This window comes from Homo sapiens, chromosome 10, assembly GCF_000001405.40.
Source record: "Homo sapiens chromosome 10, GRCh38.p14 Primary Assembly".
Taxonomy (NCBI): Eukaryota; Metazoa; Chordata; class Mammalia; order Primates; family Hominidae; genus Homo; species Homo sapiens.
The window spans coordinates 86,480,085-86,498,456 of record NC_000010.11 but is presented as its reverse complement, the minus strand read 5'-3'; the positions used below and the strand labels follow the sequence as shown (position 1 = coordinate 86,498,456).

General features: G+C 39.3%; 1 protein-coding gene and 1 pseudogene across 2 annotated transcripts in view, besides 2 other annotated features; one reads left to right on the top strand and one right to left on the bottom strand.

The window, feature by feature from the left end:
• The window catches only part of WAPL (WAPL cohesin release factor), an 86,537-nt gene that overhangs the window by 23,336 nt on the left and 44,829 nt on the right, over positions 1-18,372 (top strand). The window contains exon 4 of one of the 2 annotated variants that reach the window (NM_001318328.2): positions 1,156-1,256. In NM_001318328.2, coding sequence (NP_001305257.1) covers positions 1,156-1,256 — 101 coding nt within the window. Of the gene's footprint in view, positions 1-1,137; positions 1,257-18,372 lie in introns of both variants that reach the window. The other variant, NM_015045.5, reaches the window with a different exon arrangement.
• Positions 9,908-10,011, bottom strand: RNU6-780P (RNA, U6 small nuclear 780, pseudogene; annotated as a pseudogene).
• Positions 11,370-11,419: an enhancer, noted in NCBI's record as "active region_3691". NCBI's record gives its function as "activates an Ori minimal core promoter by ATAC-STARR-seq in GM12878 lymphoblastoid cells {active_cell/tissue: GM12878}" and the evidence as "EXISTENCE:reporter gene assay evidence [ECO:0000049][PMID:35858748]".
• Positions 11,430-11,599: an enhancer, noted in NCBI's record as "active region_3690". NCBI's record gives its function as "activates an Ori minimal core promoter by ATAC-STARR-seq in GM12878 lymphoblastoid cells {active_cell/tissue: GM12878}" and the evidence as "EXISTENCE:reporter gene assay evidence [ECO:0000049][PMID:35858748]".

The window sequence follows — 18,372 nt, the reverse complement described above, 5'->3', positions numbered from 1 at the left end:
CTAGACATACACAGGAGTACCCCTAGGGGCTCACCCCTGCCTCCCCCGAAAAAAAAGAAAAAAGAAATACATCCAGTGTTGTCTTTGAATCTTTTCTGGAGACTGGAAATTTGCAGCAGCCTTACTATAGTCACTTAAGATCTGGCTAGGCAGAACAGCTAGGCATTTGTTTCCTCAGTAGAATGATAAATACTGCTATACAATACCAGCGCCCTTGTCCTGCTGTAGTTTACTTATAAGCTTTTATTCTAACCTGGATAGCAAGTTATCCCCTGCAATTGAGAATCTGTGGCTGAAATTTACATCTTGTGTAATACAACTTTTAAAGATGTAAAATGTGAAATTAGACTCCCTTTGAGAAACTTGAAGTAGATGCTAAATAACATTTGAAAATTAGAGGCCATTTGGTTGATCTACCCAAAGTTGAAATTTGAGTCTTCATACCATAAGTGAAACAGCAAAAAATTTTAAGCATTGGGATAGAGAAGAGTCTTTCTATGTTTCCTATTTTGTTTCGCTTAGAAAAAGATACATATTTTTAACCAGTTGGGAAATAAACTGACTCTTTGGTTAGTTGTGTTTGAAGACCGACAAATCATTAAACTTTGTTATATTAGGTCATTTTAAATCTCTTGCCAAGGATAACTGTCCTCCTTTTCTGGTGTTTTAAATGTGGCTTTTGTAGTTGCCAGCAGGCATTCTTTGAAGGCCAACATGATTTAGTGGATTTAAAGTTCTGAAAAATGTTACAGGTAGATACGCATGATGTTTTGTGTGTGTATAAACCTTACCATTCCAGTGTCAGTATCCATGGATATCCAGCAGTTATGTGACCTCTCGGAAGTAAGAAAATTATTTTGGAAAAGATTTGATTTTTCCATTTGACATAAAATAAGACTAGAACACATACACAGCAACCAGGTTTATGATTTCTCTTGCGGGAGGGACAAGCAGGAAGGGAGAATGGCAGAATGAAACTTCTTATTCTAGGGAGTATTTTGTCAGCTCTGTGGTGCTGTGATTTCCTTTATTCTTTTCTTCCCATTTTCATTCATTCATGTATATATAATCTTGATAGGTTGTCTGGTAGGTAATTTGAAATATTAGTAAGCTAGATAGTTTTGATTACCATTTCAGAAAACTTGGATTTTACAGAGGACTTGCCTGGTGTGCCTGAAAGTGTGAAGAAGCCCATAAATAAACAAGGAGATAAATCAAAGGAAAATACCAGAAAGATTTTTAGTGGCCCCAAACGGGTAAGTAAAGCACTGTCAGTGATTTTTATTATTTATTTGTTATTGGAGGGCTCAACTCTTAATTTTTTATTTGAAAGTTACTAATAAACATCATAGCAACTGTCTTTCAAAGGATATGTGTAAGTCGTTTTTTCAGATATAACCATTTTTTAAAAAATTGTAAAATATACATATTTTTAAAACCATTCTCAAGTGTACAAGTCAGTGGCATTACTTTCACGGTGTTATGTAACCATCACAATTATCTATACCCAAAACCTTTTTATCATATCCAACAAAAACTCTGTACCCATTAACCAATAACTTCCTCCCCCACTGCACACCTAGTCAATACTATTCCACTCTGTCTCTAGGAATGTGCTTTTTCTAAGTATCTTATATAAATAGAATCATACAATATCCATCATAAACCAGATACAAAAGGACGAACATTGTATGAATCTGGTTTATTTCACTAAGCCTGATTTTTCTAAGGTTACATCTGTCTTTTACGGTATGTCAAAATTTCATTCCTTTTTATGGCTGAATAAAATTCCATTGTATGTAAGATATATATGTATATATATAAAAGAATATTCCATTGTGTGTGAGACATACACACACCACCACACCTCCATGCCTTCCACATTTTGTTTATCCATTCATCTGTTGATGGACACTTGGATTGTTTTTACCTTTTGGCTACTGTGAATAATGCTGCTGTGAAGGTTGGCATACAGATACATCTGTTTGAGTCTCTGCTTTCAGTTCTTTTGGATATATACCTAGGAGTGGATTTCCTGGGTCAGTATGGTAGGCCTATAACTTTCTGAGGAACTGCCAAACTGTTCTCTGTGGTTGTCTGCACCATTTTACATTGCTACCAGCAACATATGAGGGCCCTAGTTTCTTCGTATCCTTACCAGCACTTCTATTTTCTGTTTTTTGATAATAGCCTAATGGGTGTGAAGTGGTATCTCATTGTGGTTTGATTTGCACTTCACTAATGATTAGTGATGTTGAGCATTTTTTATGTGTTTACTGGCTATTTTTGTATCTTTGAAGAAATGTCTAAGTCCTTTGCCCAGTTTTTTTGTTTGTTTGTTTTAGATGGAGTTTCGCTCTTGTTGCCCAGGCTGGAGTGCGGTAGCACAATCTTGGCTCACTGCAACCTCCGCCTCCTGGGTTCAAGGAATTCTCCTGCCTCAGCCTCCCAAGTAGCTGGGATTACACGCATGTGACACCATGCTTGGCTAATTTTGTATTTTTAGTAGAGATGGGGTTTCATCATGTTTGTCAGGCTGGTCCCTAACTCCTGACCTCAGGTGATACACTTGCCTCGGTGTCCCAGAGTGCTGGGATTACAGGTGTGAGCCACCGTGCCCGGCCCTTTGCCCATTTTTGAATTGAGTTTTTTTGTTTTTATTGAGTTGTAGTAGTATGTTAATCCTTAGCAGTAATATGGTTTACAAATATTTTCTGCTATTTCATTAGTTGTTTTTCACTGTATTGATATTGTCCTTTGATGCAAAAACATTTTAATTTTGATGTTCAATTTGTCATTCTGTTGTCTGTGCTTTTGGTGTCATATCCAATAAATTGTTGCCAGATCCAGTGTTACATACATTTTTGTCTATGTTTTTTTCCTATAATTCATAGTTTTAGGTCGTTACGTTTAGATCGTTGTTCTATTTTAAGTTAATTTTTGTATATGGTGTAAGGTTAGGGCCAACTTTATTCCTCCTCCTCTTTTTTTTTTGAGATGGTCTCACTCTCACCCAGGCTGGAATGCAGTGGTGTGATCCCAGCTCAGTGCAGCCTTGACGTCCTCGGGCTCAGGTGATCTCCCACCTCAGACTCCTAAATAGCTGGGACTACAGGCGTGCATTATGATACCTGGCTAATTTTTGTATTTTTTGTAGAGACGTGGTTTCAGTTTGTTGCCCATGCTGGTCTTGAACTCCTAGGCTCAGGCTATCTGCCTGCCTTGGCCTCCCAAAATGTAATATGGTCCAGCATGGGTATTGAGAATAATTTGACTTCGCCTTTTTTGTAAAAAATTCCTTAAATAGCTTGTTATAGTGTTTTGTTATTTAAAGTTAAAATTAGAGGTTGCCAGTACCTTTTATTCTTGTAGATTGAATTGCTTTTAAATAACTAAAGAATGAGTGTGTTCAATTTTTATGGCCTTATTTTTCCTATTTTACCTGAAGAGCCCACTGGGGATCTTTTCAATGTAATTGTCCTATAGTTTTGCACTCCCAGGTGCTTAGGTGAGACTTTGAATTTCTAGAAAACTGTATGACTTCACAGTGATACGTAGTTGTGTTTTAATAAGCTTTTCAGGTAATTTTGGATATTCTTCTACAGTACTACCCCAAAACTCAAGAAATGGGAGTTTCTTGATGATTAGTTGCAACTTGGAATGTGAAACCGTGCCAGTAACCTTTCATACATTGCATTAAAATCTGCTGCTTTATCTTGCATTTTGAATGGGCATTTACCCATACATGCTTTGTAACATCATACACTGGTCACTTGCAAAATACTGGTTACGATGAATTATGCAAATCTTTCAAATGATGACACATTTCATTATACAGTATCGAAAAACCATGTTAATACCACTGCCAAACTCAGAAAAGTTTGTAAGTACTGGGAACCTATCAAGTTCACAGTGGTAGATACAAGTTCTCTAAAATTTGTTTTTGCTTAAAAGTTCAATTTTTTTTTATTGGAAGCAAATACTTCAAGGAAAACAACTGATGGTAACAGATTTACTCTTTGTTTTCGAGAAAATGCCTGCCACATTCCCACGTTTGAATCAGCATAGTTTGTCGATCTTTCCAGTAAAGATGATGTTTGAGAAAAAAGTAGCTAGTTTGGCTTGCAACTTAAACAGTGGTGGTTTTTTCTCCATACAACCACTGTACTTTGCATGCAGCAGAAGTGTTTTATGCATACTTGTTTTGTCACAGAGATTATTAGTGTATTCAGGGATAGAGATTTAATAAAATTAACTATTTTTATTCCTTCATTAAGGGCTTTAAGTGAAACTGGCATTTTACTTTTTGACTGCTACATAGTATGTAGCAGTTAGAAGTCCTACCTTTATTTGTGCTAAGGCACCAGCAGTTTTACCCACCATTGCTTTTGCACCATCCATACAAATGTCAATGCATTAAAAAAGCCAGTTAACATCTTTATAAAATATTTTTTGAGGCAGAGTCTTGCTCTGTTGCCCAGGCTGGAGTGCAGTGGCGCAATCTCAGCTTACTAGAGCCTCTGCCTCCCAGGTGCAAGTGATTCTCCTGCCTTAGCCTCCTGGGTAGCTGGGACTACAGGCAAGCGCCACCATGCCTGGCTAATTTTTTGTATTTTTAGTAGAGGGAGGGTCTCATCATGTTGGCCAGGCTGGTGTCGAACTCCTGGCCTCAGGTGATCCACCTGCTTTGGCCTCCCAAAGTCCAGCGATTACAGGCGTGAGCCAATGTGCCTGGCCCCATCTCTTAAAAAAAAAAAAAAATGTAGTTGGGCATGGTGGCTTGGTTGTAGTCCAAGCTACTTGGGAGGCTGAGACAGGAAGATCACTTGAACCCAGGAGTTCAAGGCTGCAGTGAGCTATGATCACATCACTTCACTGGAGCCTGGACAACAGAGTGAGACCCTGTCTCTTAATAAATAAATAAATAAATGAAAATTTGAAATATACAGAAAATGTGAAAGAGCAGTAAGATGAGTACCCATATCCCTCTGCCTAGATTGTTTTCCAGTTAGCATTTAACCATAATTGTACATAGTCCCTTTCCTTTCTCCCTCTCTATAATATATATTTACTGTATAATACTTATATTAAGTATATGTACAGTCTTATTTGAAAGTTTATTTTATTAAATATATATATGGTCTTATTTGAAAGTAAGTTGCCTGCATTTCTTAAGAAAAAGGTCTCATACCTGTGGTTATATAACACTTAAGTCAATTCCTAGTAATTCTTTGATATAATCTGATAATCACTGTATTCAGTTTTCCCCATCTTCAAAATGTCTTTTCATATTTTTTTTCCCAAACCATAATCATTTAGTTATGTCTCTCTTAGTTTTGAACAGTACCCCCCTTTGAAAAAAATTCCCCTTGGTCCTGAATTTTTTTTTTTTTTTTGAGACGGAGTCTCACTCTGTCACCCAGGCTCGAGTGCAGTGGTGCCATCTCTGCTCACTGCAAGCTCCGCCTCCTGGATTCACGCCATTCTCCCGCCTCAGCCTCCCAAGTAGGTGGGACTATAGGCGCCCACCACCACACCCGGCTAATTTTGTTTTTGTATTTTTGGTAGAGACGGGGTTTCACAGTGTTAGCCAGGATGGTCTCTATCTCCTGACCCTCGTGATCTGCTCGCCTCGGCTTCCCAAAGTGCTGGGATTACAGGTGTGAGCCACCGCGCCCGGATGGCCCTGATGGTTTTTTAAGAGGCCAGGATATTTGTCTTACAGAAAGTTCTGCATTCAGAATTTATCTGATTGTTTCCTACTGATGTCATTTAATTTGTTGCCTCACTGCATTAAAGTACCAGAATTTAAGTCTGGAAGTTTGATTAAATTCAGGTTAGACTTTTTGGTGGGGGGCGGTGGGGAGGCTATTTCACCGGTTGCATTGTGTATGATGCTTTACATCAGAAGTCTCATGATACCTGGTTACTCCACTCTTAGCATTGTTTGACCACCTAGTTAAGGTTGTGATCACCAGCTCTCAACAAAATAAAAGTACATATCTCATTTTATAATTTAGTTAGGAAACTTCAGAGTGCTAGTCCAGTACCACGTGCATGCCCTGTTCCCCATTATTGTCTTACCTCATTTTCGTATCCATTGTTGAGCTTTGCCTACATCATTTATTGCTCGAGTTACAGAATGATGAGTTTTCTAATCGTTATTTCTTACACATTTAATAGCTGGAATTTTGTAAAGAGGAACCTTCATCTCTCCTTCTTCCCCTCTCCTTCTTCCAGCTGTCTCCATCACTATAGATTCAGTAATTTTTGCTTATTGGATAACATTTTTACTTACTGACATTATGCTAAGTCAAATAACTCAGACACAAAGAATATTAAAAACGGCATGATCTCACTTAACGTGTCAAATTAAAAATAGTTGAATATGTAGAAACAGAATAGAATGGTGGATACCAGGGATGAGGAGGGGGAGGAAATAGGGCAGTGTTGGTCAGACAGTACATACTTGCAGTTACATAGGATGAATAAATGTAGCTATCTGATGTACAGTAGGAGACCTGTAGTTAATAATATAGGACATTTGCTAAGAGAGTAGATTGTAGGTGCTCTTAACACACACACAGGGTAACTGGAAAGTGATGGATGCTTGCAGTAATCATTGTGTGTATTAAAACGTTATCTTGCATGTTAAATATATGTAATAAAAATAAATACTATTTACTAAATGTTTTATAGTTGATTTTGCTTTTTTTTTTTTTTAAGTTGAAGTTGTTTTATATTTGGCCAGTGTGAACCATTTCAAGCGGTCTCTTGTATCCTTTTGAAATAACCTGTCATCTTTGAGCACTTCCCTTGCCTTCTGTACAATAAGATGGCTCAGGCTCATCTTATAGATTCCCTGTTTTAAGTCATGGAGTCATGTGTTTTTCTAGGAACCTTGGTTCTTTTTGTGGACATTAGTACTTAGAAACCAAGATCTGAGTGCTGAGTGTGTTCATCGCATCAAGGGCCTTTCTTCAGACAGAGTTAGGAGATAATGTTGAAAAATGAACCATGCCGGGCGTGGTGGCTCACGCCTGTAATCCTAGCACTTTGGGAGGCCGAGGCGGGTGGATCACGAGGTCAGGAGAGCAAGACCATCCTGGCTAACACGGTGAAATCCCGTTTCTACTAAAAACACAAAAAATTAGCCATGTGTGGTGGCGGGCGCCTGTGGTCCCAGCTACTTGGGAGGCTGAGGCAGGAGAATGGCGCGAACCCGGGAGGCAGAGTTTGCAGTGAGCGGAGATCATGCCACTGCACTCCAGCCTGGGCAACAGAGCGAGACTCCGTCTTAAAAAAAAAAAAAAAAAAAAAGAACCATGAGTTTATGTTATTGATAGTTTCTTTTTCAAATTTATTTATGTATGTATTTATTTATTTATTTATTTAAGACAGAGTCTTGCTCTGTCACCCAGGCTGGAGTGCGGTGGCATGATCTCGGCTCACTGCAACCTCCGCCTCCTGGGTTCAAGTGCTTCTCCTGCCTCAGCCTCCAGAGTAGCTGGGATTACAGGCATGCACCACCATGCCCAGCTAATTTTTGTATTTTTAGTAGAGATGGGGTTTTTCCAGGTTAGTCAGGCTGGTCTCGAACTCCCGACCTCAGGTGATCCACCTGCCTCGGCCTCCCAAAGTGCTGGAATTACAGGTGTGAGCCACCGCGCCCGGCCTTCAAATTTAACATCACAGAATTGTATACTTATTTGCTTTATCCTACAGCATACATATATATCAAAATTATAATTCCAATAATATGAGCAATAAATATGAGTGAATTTTAATTTCTTTGTAATTGGTTTTTTCCTTAGATTTTAGTTTACTTAGGATGAACAGTTATGGTACTGTGTTAAAATTTGTTGAAATGATTTTTATACTGTCTGCTTATATGTTAATTCTATATTCAGTTGAAGTCATTTGTACCTATTTGTGTTCTGTTTTTTTAACTTAGTTATGAACTTAATGTTGGAGTAATTTCTTTGCTAGTAACATAGCTTAGAAGGCAGCAGTGTACATGTACTTGACCTGATTACAAAGGAATCTATCTGGCCTAAAGTAAATCAGGTCATGGCAACTTGAGTCAGCAGCAAACCTATTTACTGTTGATGGATGCAAAGTGATAGTGTCAGAAAATTAAGAAAATTATTGCTAATTTATAAAACAAAAAGAGCTATGGGACTGAGCTTATTTGAAAAATGTAATATGAGTAAAGCTGTGTGTGTGTATGTGTTTTTTTTTTTGAGATGGAGTCTCACTCTGTCCCCCAGGCTGGAGTGTGGCGACGCGATCTTGGCTCACTGCAACCTCTGCCTCCTAGGTACAAGCAATTCTCCTGCCTCGGCCTCCCAGGTAGCTGGGATTACAGACGTGCACCACCATGCCCGGCTAATTTTTGTATTTCTAGTAGATATGGGGTTTCACCTGTTTGCCAGGCTGATCTTGAACTGCTGACCTCAAGCGATCCGCCCACCTTGGCCTCCCAAAGTACCAAAGTTGGCCTCCCACCGTGCCAAGCCAAAACTGTGTCTTAAGCTGTGTCTTAACGTAGTAGCCTTTTTTTTTTTTTTTCAAGGCAAAACCTTTATTCATTTTAATGGTAGGCCAGTGAGAGTATCTGGATTTTCTGGCTCTCTAATCTGATTAGATTTAAGAATTCCAGTGGCCCCATTTCCAGGTGGTAAAGAGGTAGTCTGTGACTTGTAGTGGCAGGAGTTTTCCTCCTGTTCTATCACAGTTTTTCAGCCTGAGCACTATTGATATTTTGGACTGAATAATTCTTGGTTTGGAGGCTGGCCCTGTACACTGAAGGATATTCAGCAACATCCCTGGCCTCTTTCCATTAGTTGTCAATAGCACCCCCCTCTTGCCTTGTTGTTACAACCCAAAATGTCTTTGGACATTGCCAAATGTTTCCTGGGGAGTGAAATGCATCCTCCTCCCATTGCTGTATATGTATGTGTGTGTGACTTGATAGTATTTCAGATATGATGCCCATTACTCCTAAATACCTAGTTTGTACTTTCTAAAAACAAGAGCACTTTGCTTTACTGCCACAGAATACCCATCAAAACCAAAGAGTTAACATTGATGTAATCCATTGTCTAATCCACAGATCCCATTCAAATTTCAGCATTTGTCCCAGTAATGTTCTTTATAGCAAAACAACTAAACTACACCCCCATGTCTCCTAAACAAAGAACCCATGATCTAATCCAGAATCACATGTTAGTTTAGTTGTCACAAGTCTCTACTCTCCTTCAGTGTGCCATGGGATCTGTGTTTCCTGGTCTTTTCATGGTTTTTACATCTTTGGCGGAGTTAAGGCCAGTTATTTTGTCTAATGTCCCTCAGTTTGTGTTTGATACTTTCTCATGATTAGACTCAGATTAGACAGTTTTGATGGCAATACAGAGGAGATGCCATTTTCTTGCTGCATCACATCAGGTGGTACTTAATGTCAGCTTGTACCATTACTACTGATGTTAACTGATCACTTGGTTAAGATGGTATTTTTCAGGTTCGTCACCTTTCCTCATTAGACTTCACCCCCTAGTTTTGGCATTGATTGTTGCCTGAGTCAGTTTTTACAACATTGGTTGCCAAATGTGATTTCCTAATTATAGCATTTGTTCTACAGTTATTAGTATTTGGCCTTGTAGTGTTAGGTAGATATTTTCTTCCCCTCCATGTAGGTTAGAGTATATGCATGTATTTTTATATGTATTCATTTAGTTATTACAGTATGAACATGGATTTCTACTTTATTCAGTCATTTGTTACTGTATTTATTTAAATCATAGTTCTGTCATTAGTTTGATCTTCTTAGATTTAGTTGGTGGATGTTCCTTCAAGCTGGCTTTGATGTGTCCCACTATTTTGCATTTTCTTACTTACATTCTATTTTCTTTAATTTTAACGCTCTACGAATTTGTGTGTCATCCTTGTGCAGGGGTCATGCTAATCTTGGTATCGTTCCAGTTTTTGTATATGTGCTGCCGAAGCGAGCACCTTACTGACATTCTAAGATGTTCCAGGCTCATCCTATACTTTCCCAGTCCTGGAGTCAGCCATTTCTTCAAGGATTCCTGTTTGCAGTTCATGGAGAATGGTATTTAGAAATAAATACTTGTTCACTAGGTATGGTTATTTCTTCTGAAGTGTCATTGCTTCTAGGCCCTCTCTGAGTAGACAGCTAGGAAACATGTAAAAATATGCATATACTGTTTCATATACAGACACATGTCTATTTCATGGTCATTCTGTGTATGTTTAGAACCATGAGTTCACACTAATATTTCCAATACCACGTTTTATTCTAGACTTCTCATTTTCCATATTTTAATTCCCTTCGCCGAGAGAAATCTGGTTTCCATTATCCTCCACATGTGTTCTTATTTTCACAATCGTCATGTATGTAACTAGTTTCTTGACTATGCTGACCATCTTCCTCACCTTAGTTCTGCTGACATAGTCTGGCCAAGAGGTCCCCCTTCCCTCTACCTACCCCTCTACCCTGTGTTAGAAAGCATTAACTCTTTTTTTGTTTGTTTGTTTGTTTTGAGACAGAGTCTTGCTCTGTTGCCCAGGCTGGAGTGCAGTGGTGCGATCTCAGCTCACTGCAAGCTCCGCCTCCCAGGTTCACTCCATTCTCCTGCCTCAGCCTCCCAAGTAGCTGGGACTACAGGCGCCCACCACCATGCCCGGCTAATTTTTTTTTGGTATTTTTTAGTAGAGGTGGGGTTTCACCGTGTTAGCCAGGATGGTCTTGCTCTCCTGACCTCGTGATCCACCCGCCTCGGCCTCCTAAAGTGGTGGGATTACAGGCGTGAGCCACCACACCTGGCCCAGAAAGCATGAACTCTTAAGCATACGTGTCTGTGAGAATTTCCTTTAGTGTCTCCCAGGAATATAGAGTTGTTAATATCAGGATTGAGGGCTGACTCAGAAAGAAGATGAGGGTGAAGAAAACTTGTAGTAAGAACATAGTTGAAATGATGATTCAGAAAAGTTGTCACTTGCTGGTGAGAAAAAGAAAGATAGGATTTGATAAATAGGGTTGAAACATACCTGGATTTAACTACCTATTGTTTCTAGGTAAGGTTTTGATCATTGAGCAGTTCTTGGTACTTTCGTTCATGAAATGTCATCCAGTTTCTGATTTCTGGCTACAGCTTCCCTACATGCCATTATTTGTAGCTGTCATATGTGTGCTGATATACTTAGATTATTTCTTCTGCTTGCCCTGCTTGTGGTTTGACTTCTACCTTTTCATTCAGCTGCTGCCTGTCATCCCTGCTTGTAAGCATTCATTGTCTGTATAGTCAGGCTGACTGTACAGGTTTTCAGTGCTTGCGGGGTTGGTTGTGTTTTACCTGGGATGTTGGCCATCTTGTTTTGCAGTTAAGACTGCTGCTGGGTCATTGATGAAACTAACCATAACGTCAATCTCAGTTTCAATTCTCCAATATTTATACCTTTACGTTCTTTTTTTGTTGTTGAGACAGGGTTTCACTCCAGTTGCTCAGGCTGGAGTGCAATGGTGTGATCATGTCTCACTGCAGCCTCGACTTCCTGGGCTCAAGTGATTCCTGTGCTTCAGCCTCTAGGGTAGCTGGGACTATAGGCACACGCCACTGCGTCCAGCTAATTTTTTGTATTTTTTGTAGAGATGGGGTTTCACCATTTTTCCCAGGCTAGTCTCGGGCTCCTGAGTCTAGCCATCTGCCGGTCTCGGCCTCCCAAAGTGGTGGGATTACAGGCATAAGCCATCATGCCCAGCCTATACCTTTACTTTCATCATTCCCCTGTGGTTTAAAGCTAGGCCCTTCTAGCACTATCTTTTGTCTAACTCTTTAAGGAACATTCTGGACTTAATTTTTTCTTCCCATCTGTCCTTCAATATGACACTGGATAGGGGGCTTCTGGGCAATTAAAATTTATCAGTATAAATCATGGTTACATATTTAGTTGTTTTAGAATGTTGTAATTACATAAACCTGCAGTTTTAAAGTTGAATATAGCTTTATACTTTGATAAACTTCATTTTTTGTTTTATAAAATGAGTTTATACGGGTTGTCAACTTACTAGCAAAATCTTACAATTGAAGAGACTTTAAAGGACAAGTACTCCCACATCTCACCCAAGAACAAATGTTCCTTCCACACAGTGTCTTCCTTTAGCAGTTAGAACCCACTCTCATGAAATAGCATATTTTTCTGTCAGAACAGTTTTACCCAGTGTTACCTTTGTTATATGTATGGGGACTCACTGACTATCTTGAGATCCAGTCATCATGTGGTATTGTGAGATCCACTATATTCTCAAGTACTAGAAACCTGATATATTAATTGATATGAAGCCTGAAAAAAAGAATGACTGTAGCAATTGGATTGGTGATGAGGGAAACTGGCAAAAGTGTGGAAGTTAATAGCTGCTGCCATTCACTTACAGCTCCTGGGTGGGTGATCCAAAGAGTTGTTGAAGCTGAGCAGGTTCTGGCTGGGCCTAGGTATGGAAGAGAGGGAGTCGGTTTTAGTTGGCTTTTTTTCATCATTGTTTTTGTTTGGTGTTTACTACATGACTTTCACTGTGCTAGGGATACAAAAATGAATAAGAAGAGTATCTTAAAAAGGCAGAATTGTTTTTTCCTACTGGAATTTTGAGCAGTCTTAGTATTTCCTCAGTGTGTTTGTTCCAAACCAGAAGCATATTGCTTCCTTTTATATAGGTAGTATTTAACTTAAATATTAAACCAGGTAATTAAAATCATTGATCTGTATAAGTCAAAAAGGCTTAGGAAAATGTAAATTATTTTCTCTCTGTGATCCAATTCTTGTGCTTTTTTTTCCTTTAATACTTTATTCTGGAAGGATTTTAATAAGTAATGAAAGTACTGTTAATCTTTTTTTTTGTTTTGGATATGGAGTCTCGCTCTGTTGCCCAGGCTGGAGTGCAGTGGCGCAGTCTCAGCTCACTGCAATCTCTGTCTCTTGGGTTCAAGTGATTCAACTGCCTTAGCCTCTTGAGTAGCTGGGACTACAGGTGGGTGCCACCATGTCCTAGGGCTAATTTTTGTATTTTTAGTAGAGACGGGGTTTTACCATGTTGGTCTTGAACTCCTGATCTCAAGCGATCCGCCTCCCTCGGCCTCCCAATGTGCTGGGATTACAGATGTGAGCTACCGTGCCCTGCCTAATCGTATTTTCTTTAGTATAGGTGCCTTTAAAGTTTGAAAGTTCAAAGTATTTTACTCTTATTTCCCAGGAAATGAGGCTTGAAGTGAGAAAATGTGGCCAGGGGTTATCAGGAGCTGGAAAGCACTGACATCTATTTGATAGTTATAGATGGGAAGGAGGGGGGTAGGGGTTGGGGGGTGAGTGGGGGGAGATGGGAGGGACGGGGGAGGGGAGAGAGAGAGCACGAGTGAGCACACGCACATGCGTGTGTGCCTGTGTGTGTGTTAGGGTGTTTATAGTTTGGAATTTCATTTGTTTTTCCATTTTGTACTACAGTCACGCATTACTTAATGACAGGGTTACATTCTGAGAAATGCATCATTAGGCGATTTCATTGTGCACACAGAACACAAAGCTAGATGGGATAGTCTGCCACACACCTAGGCTATATGGTATAGCCTGTTGCTTCTGATATGTTGCCGTACTGAATATTGTAGGCAGTTGTAACACAGTGGTAAGTATTTGTGTATCTAAACCTAGAAAAGGTACAGTAAAAATACATATAAAAATGGTACACCTATATAGGACACTTAACCATGAATGGAGCTTGCAGGATTGCAAGTTTCTTTGGGAGTCAGTGAGTGAATGTGAAAGCTTAGGACACTACTGTAGACTTTATAAAGACTGTACACGTATGCTGCACTAAAGTTATAATAGTTTCTTCAATGATAAATTAACCTTAGCTTACTGTAATGGCTTGTTTTTTTCTTTTTGCTTTTTGTTTTGAGACAATCTCCCTCTGTCACCTAGGTTGAAGTGCAGTGGTGTGAACACTGTTCATTGCAGCCTTGACCTCCTGGGCTCAACTGATCCTCCCACCTCAGCGTCCCTAGTAGCTGGGACTACAGGTGGACATCACCACACCCTGGTGATCTTGTATTTTTTGTAGAGGTGGGGTTTCACCATGTTGTCGAGGCTGGTCTTGAACTCCTGGGCTCAAGCAATCCTCCCAGCTTGGCCTCCCAAAGTGTTGGGATTACAGACGTGAGGCACTGTGGCCAACCAGCTTACTGTAACTTTTTAACATTATAAACGTTTTAATTTGTTTAAAACTTTTTGGCTATTGTTAATAACACATAGCTTAAAACAAACACACTGTACTACTGTACAAAAATATTTTCATTCTTTATATCTTTATTCCGTAAGCTTTTTTCTATTTTTAAAATTATTTTTAATTTTACTTTAAAATCTTTTTTGTTGCCTGGGTGCGGTGGCTCACGCCTGTAATCCCGGCACTTGGGGAAGTTGAGGCAGGTGGGTCACCTGAGGTCAGGAGTTTGAGGCCAGTCTGGCCAACATGGTGAAACCCCATCTCTACTAAAAATACAGTTAGCCAGGCGTGGTGGCGGGAGCCGAGATCGCGCCACTGTACTCCAGCCTGGGCAACAGAGTGAGACTGCCAAAAAAAAAAAAAAAAAAAAAAGAAAAAAAAATTTTTTTTTTTTTTTGTTAAAAACTTAAGATACACCAGCCTAGACCTATCCAGAGTGAAGATCATAATTCTCACAGTCTTCCACCTCCACATCTTGTGCCACTGGAAGTTCTTCAAGGGCACTAACATACGTGGAGCTGTCATCTCCTATGATGCCAGCCTTCTTCTGGAATAACTCCTGAAGTACCTGTCTGAAGCGGTTTTACAATGAACTTTTTTTTGTTTTACAAGTAGAAGGAGTATATTCTAAAATGGTTAAAATATAGTAAATACATAAACCAGTAACTGCTATTGTTAATAGTCATTCATTGTCAAGTGTTACTTACTGTATCTAATTGTATGTGCTATACTCTTTTTTTTTTTTGAGATGGAGTTTTTGCTCTTGTTGTCCAGGCTGGAGTGCAGTGGTGGGATCTCAGCTTACCGCAACCTCCGCCTCGCAGGTTCAAGCAATTCTCCTGCCTCAGCCTCCAGAGTACCTGGGATTACAGGCATGCACCTCCACGCCCAGCCAATTTTGTATTTTTCATAGAGGCAGGGTTTTTCCATGTTGGTCAGGCTGGTCTCAAACTCCCGACCTCGGGTGATCCACCCACCTCGGCCTCCCAAAATGCTAGGATTACAGGCGTGAGCCACCGCACCTGGCATGTATGTACTGTACCCTTATAGGACTGGCAGCACAGTAGGTTTGTTTACAAAAGCATCACTACAAACACTCGCCTAATGCATTGTGCTAAGATGTCACTAAATGTTAGGAATTTTTCAGCTCCATTAAAATCTTATGAGACCACCGTTACATATGCAGTTTGTAATTGACCAAAACCTTGTTATGTGGTACATAACTCTGTAAAGTACATTATTATTAACTGTAGTTACCATGCTATAAGTCAGATCTCCAGAAGCTAATCATTTTATAATGGGAAGTTTCTACCCTTTGACCAAAATCCCATTTCCCCTACCTGCCAGCCCCTGGCAACCACCTTTCCACTCTTTGTTCCTATGAATTTGACTTCTTTAGTGAATCCCTACTTTTTCCCAAATGGTTTATAATCTATTACTGTATTTAATTATTTGGGGCCTAAATTTGTCCTGATTTGGCTAGTAGAGCCTCATTAAGCTGGCTGTTTGATTTGTCTGCCATGTCCCCATCATTTTGTGAAAACTTCTTTCTTCCTGGTGTAACACAGTGTTCTAGGTTCATCTTGTACCTGGTCAGCTGTAGGCTCGGGATCAGGTCCATTCTCCGAGGAGTAATGATTCTCTTTAGTGGAGAATGGTATTAGAGACTATGATAATGGGCCCTAGGTGTGTCCTTTGCTTCTTGGCGCTTTTAGCAAACGGGCATAGGAAACATGCACGTATACATATATTACATACATACATATATATTCACATACATTCACATACAAATATACCTTCACATATATATGTGGATTCATGCCTGTGTACATAAGTGATCTAGAAATCATGAATTCACACATAATCTTCAGTATCCATGCATTTTCACAGGATTATTTCTTGCCTTCTGTCTTTTTCACAGTGAGAGCCCAGGGTTCTTTCTGGCCTTATGTCTTTTTCACAGTGAACAACAGCAGCAGCACATTTACTCAACTTATATCTAAATAGGTACAGAATTGCTTTGCCCATTCCACTACAATAAGTAAATTTACAAAAATTTTCAGGAATTGTTTGGCAATTCTGCCCTTGCCCTACTCCACCCTGCCCAAGATTGAGGGTATAAAGTCAAATAATATGTTCACAAATTACTTGGGATTATTTCTGCCTGCCTGCCTCTTGACTGGTCAGTGCATTGGGTGGTTTGTCTGGCTTCTCTTCACAGTGTTTGCTGTCCATGTGAAATATGAGTAGGTTTCTTTGTTCTGGTTTGCTTTAAGTGTTGGGGTTTTCCGTTTCCATTCTTACTTTTTTTTTTTTAATGTGTACAACATTATAAAAGTCAAAACTATATAAAAAGGTAAGTTTAATGAGGTCACTTCATCTGAGATGTGTTCCAGTCTGTCACCCACCCTTGTAGGGAACCAATTTTATTGTTTTCTGCTGCTTCTTTTCTATGTTTCTTTTTTATATAAAAATAAACAGACTAAAATTTTTCAGCCCGGCGCGGTGGTTCACGCCTGTAATCCCAGCTCTTTGGGATGCCAAAGCAGGCAGATCACCTAAGGTCAGGAGTTCGAGAGCAGCCTGACCAACATGGATAAACCCCGTCTCTACTAAAAATACAAAATTAGCTGGGCGTGGTAGCACATGCCTGTAATCCCAGCTACTCGGGAGGCTGAGGCAGGAGAATCGCATGAATCTGGGAGGCGGAGGTTGCAGTGAGCCAAGATCGCGCCATTGCACTCCAGCCTGGGCAACAAGAGCGAAACGCTGTCTCAAAAAAAAATTTTTTTTTTCTTACATAAAAAGTAGCATCTATATGTCCTGTTTTGCACTGTCTCTCCTTTAAAATTTAGTAATATTTCTTGGAAATCACTATCAGTTCATGTAGATCTTCCCCAGTATATATTTTTATAATTCTAAAGATTGGTTTTAGATTTTTTTTCTTTAGTTTCTGTCTTCCTCCATTCTCTTACATGTTGACTGTTTATATCTTTTAAATTGTTTCTTTTTAACGTTGTATGTGCATAGTTTACCCACATCCAGTATTGGCAAAATTTTATACTTTCAGCATGTCCTGTTATTATTTGTTTCTAATCTCAATTTACTGTTGTTCAAAGGTGGCTTCTTAGGATCTGGTTCAGATGTTGTAAAAGAAATCCCAAATTAGTTATTAATAGATAGCTTATTTTTCTCTGGCTTACCAGTCTCTGGTTGTTTATCTCTGGACAATTTTCAAATTGCTGCAGTGTAGGGGACCCAAGTTTCCCTTGTGTGGTGGTATTCTACCATTTCTGGACTATTGATTAAGATAGAAGGAACTAGAAGGGAAGGCAATGAACCATCCCTAGAAGCCAGGACCCAGAAGGTGTACCTCACTTCTCTTCACACTTCATTGGCAAGAGCTTAGTCACATGCCCATGCAAGCATCAAGATGTTGAGAAATCTATGTGAGCATTTGTCCAGCTAAATGTTTTTAAAGGAAAATGAAGGGGAGAATGGATATTCTCTAATCACAGGTGGTGTTGTCTCAAGATATTTATAGCTTCCGGTTTTTTTATTTCTAAATTTGATAATCATCTTTCTAATACAACTTGTCATCAATATTTAATGGTATTTTTAGTTGTGAGAACTGTTATTTTAGCTGATTTTGGTCATGGCTCTCATACTAGTATCTTTTAGTTTTAATTGTTGAATTATAGGCTAAGTTATGTTCTCACAAAATGCCAACTACTGAATTTTATGGTTTTTTGCATGGACTTTTTAGAACTTATGACCAAGTTATGCTATTTCCTGGTGATATTCTGAAGTGACAGTTACCTACTTTTAATAAAACCGTGGCTACCAATTATGCTTTTGAAGTTCTACTCACAGTAGTGGTGTGCATTGTTCTTCATGAAGATAGGAATTGACAATTTTTTCATAAAAATGGCAGCTGTCTTTAAAAGTCATTACTACCTGTTGTATGCAGTTGATTCGGGCAGAGAAGAAAGACTTTGCAGCTTTATTTCTTCTCGTTAGATGTGGATTAGATTCTCTACAGTGTTTCATATTGCATATTACAATTTCTAATTCTTGATAGT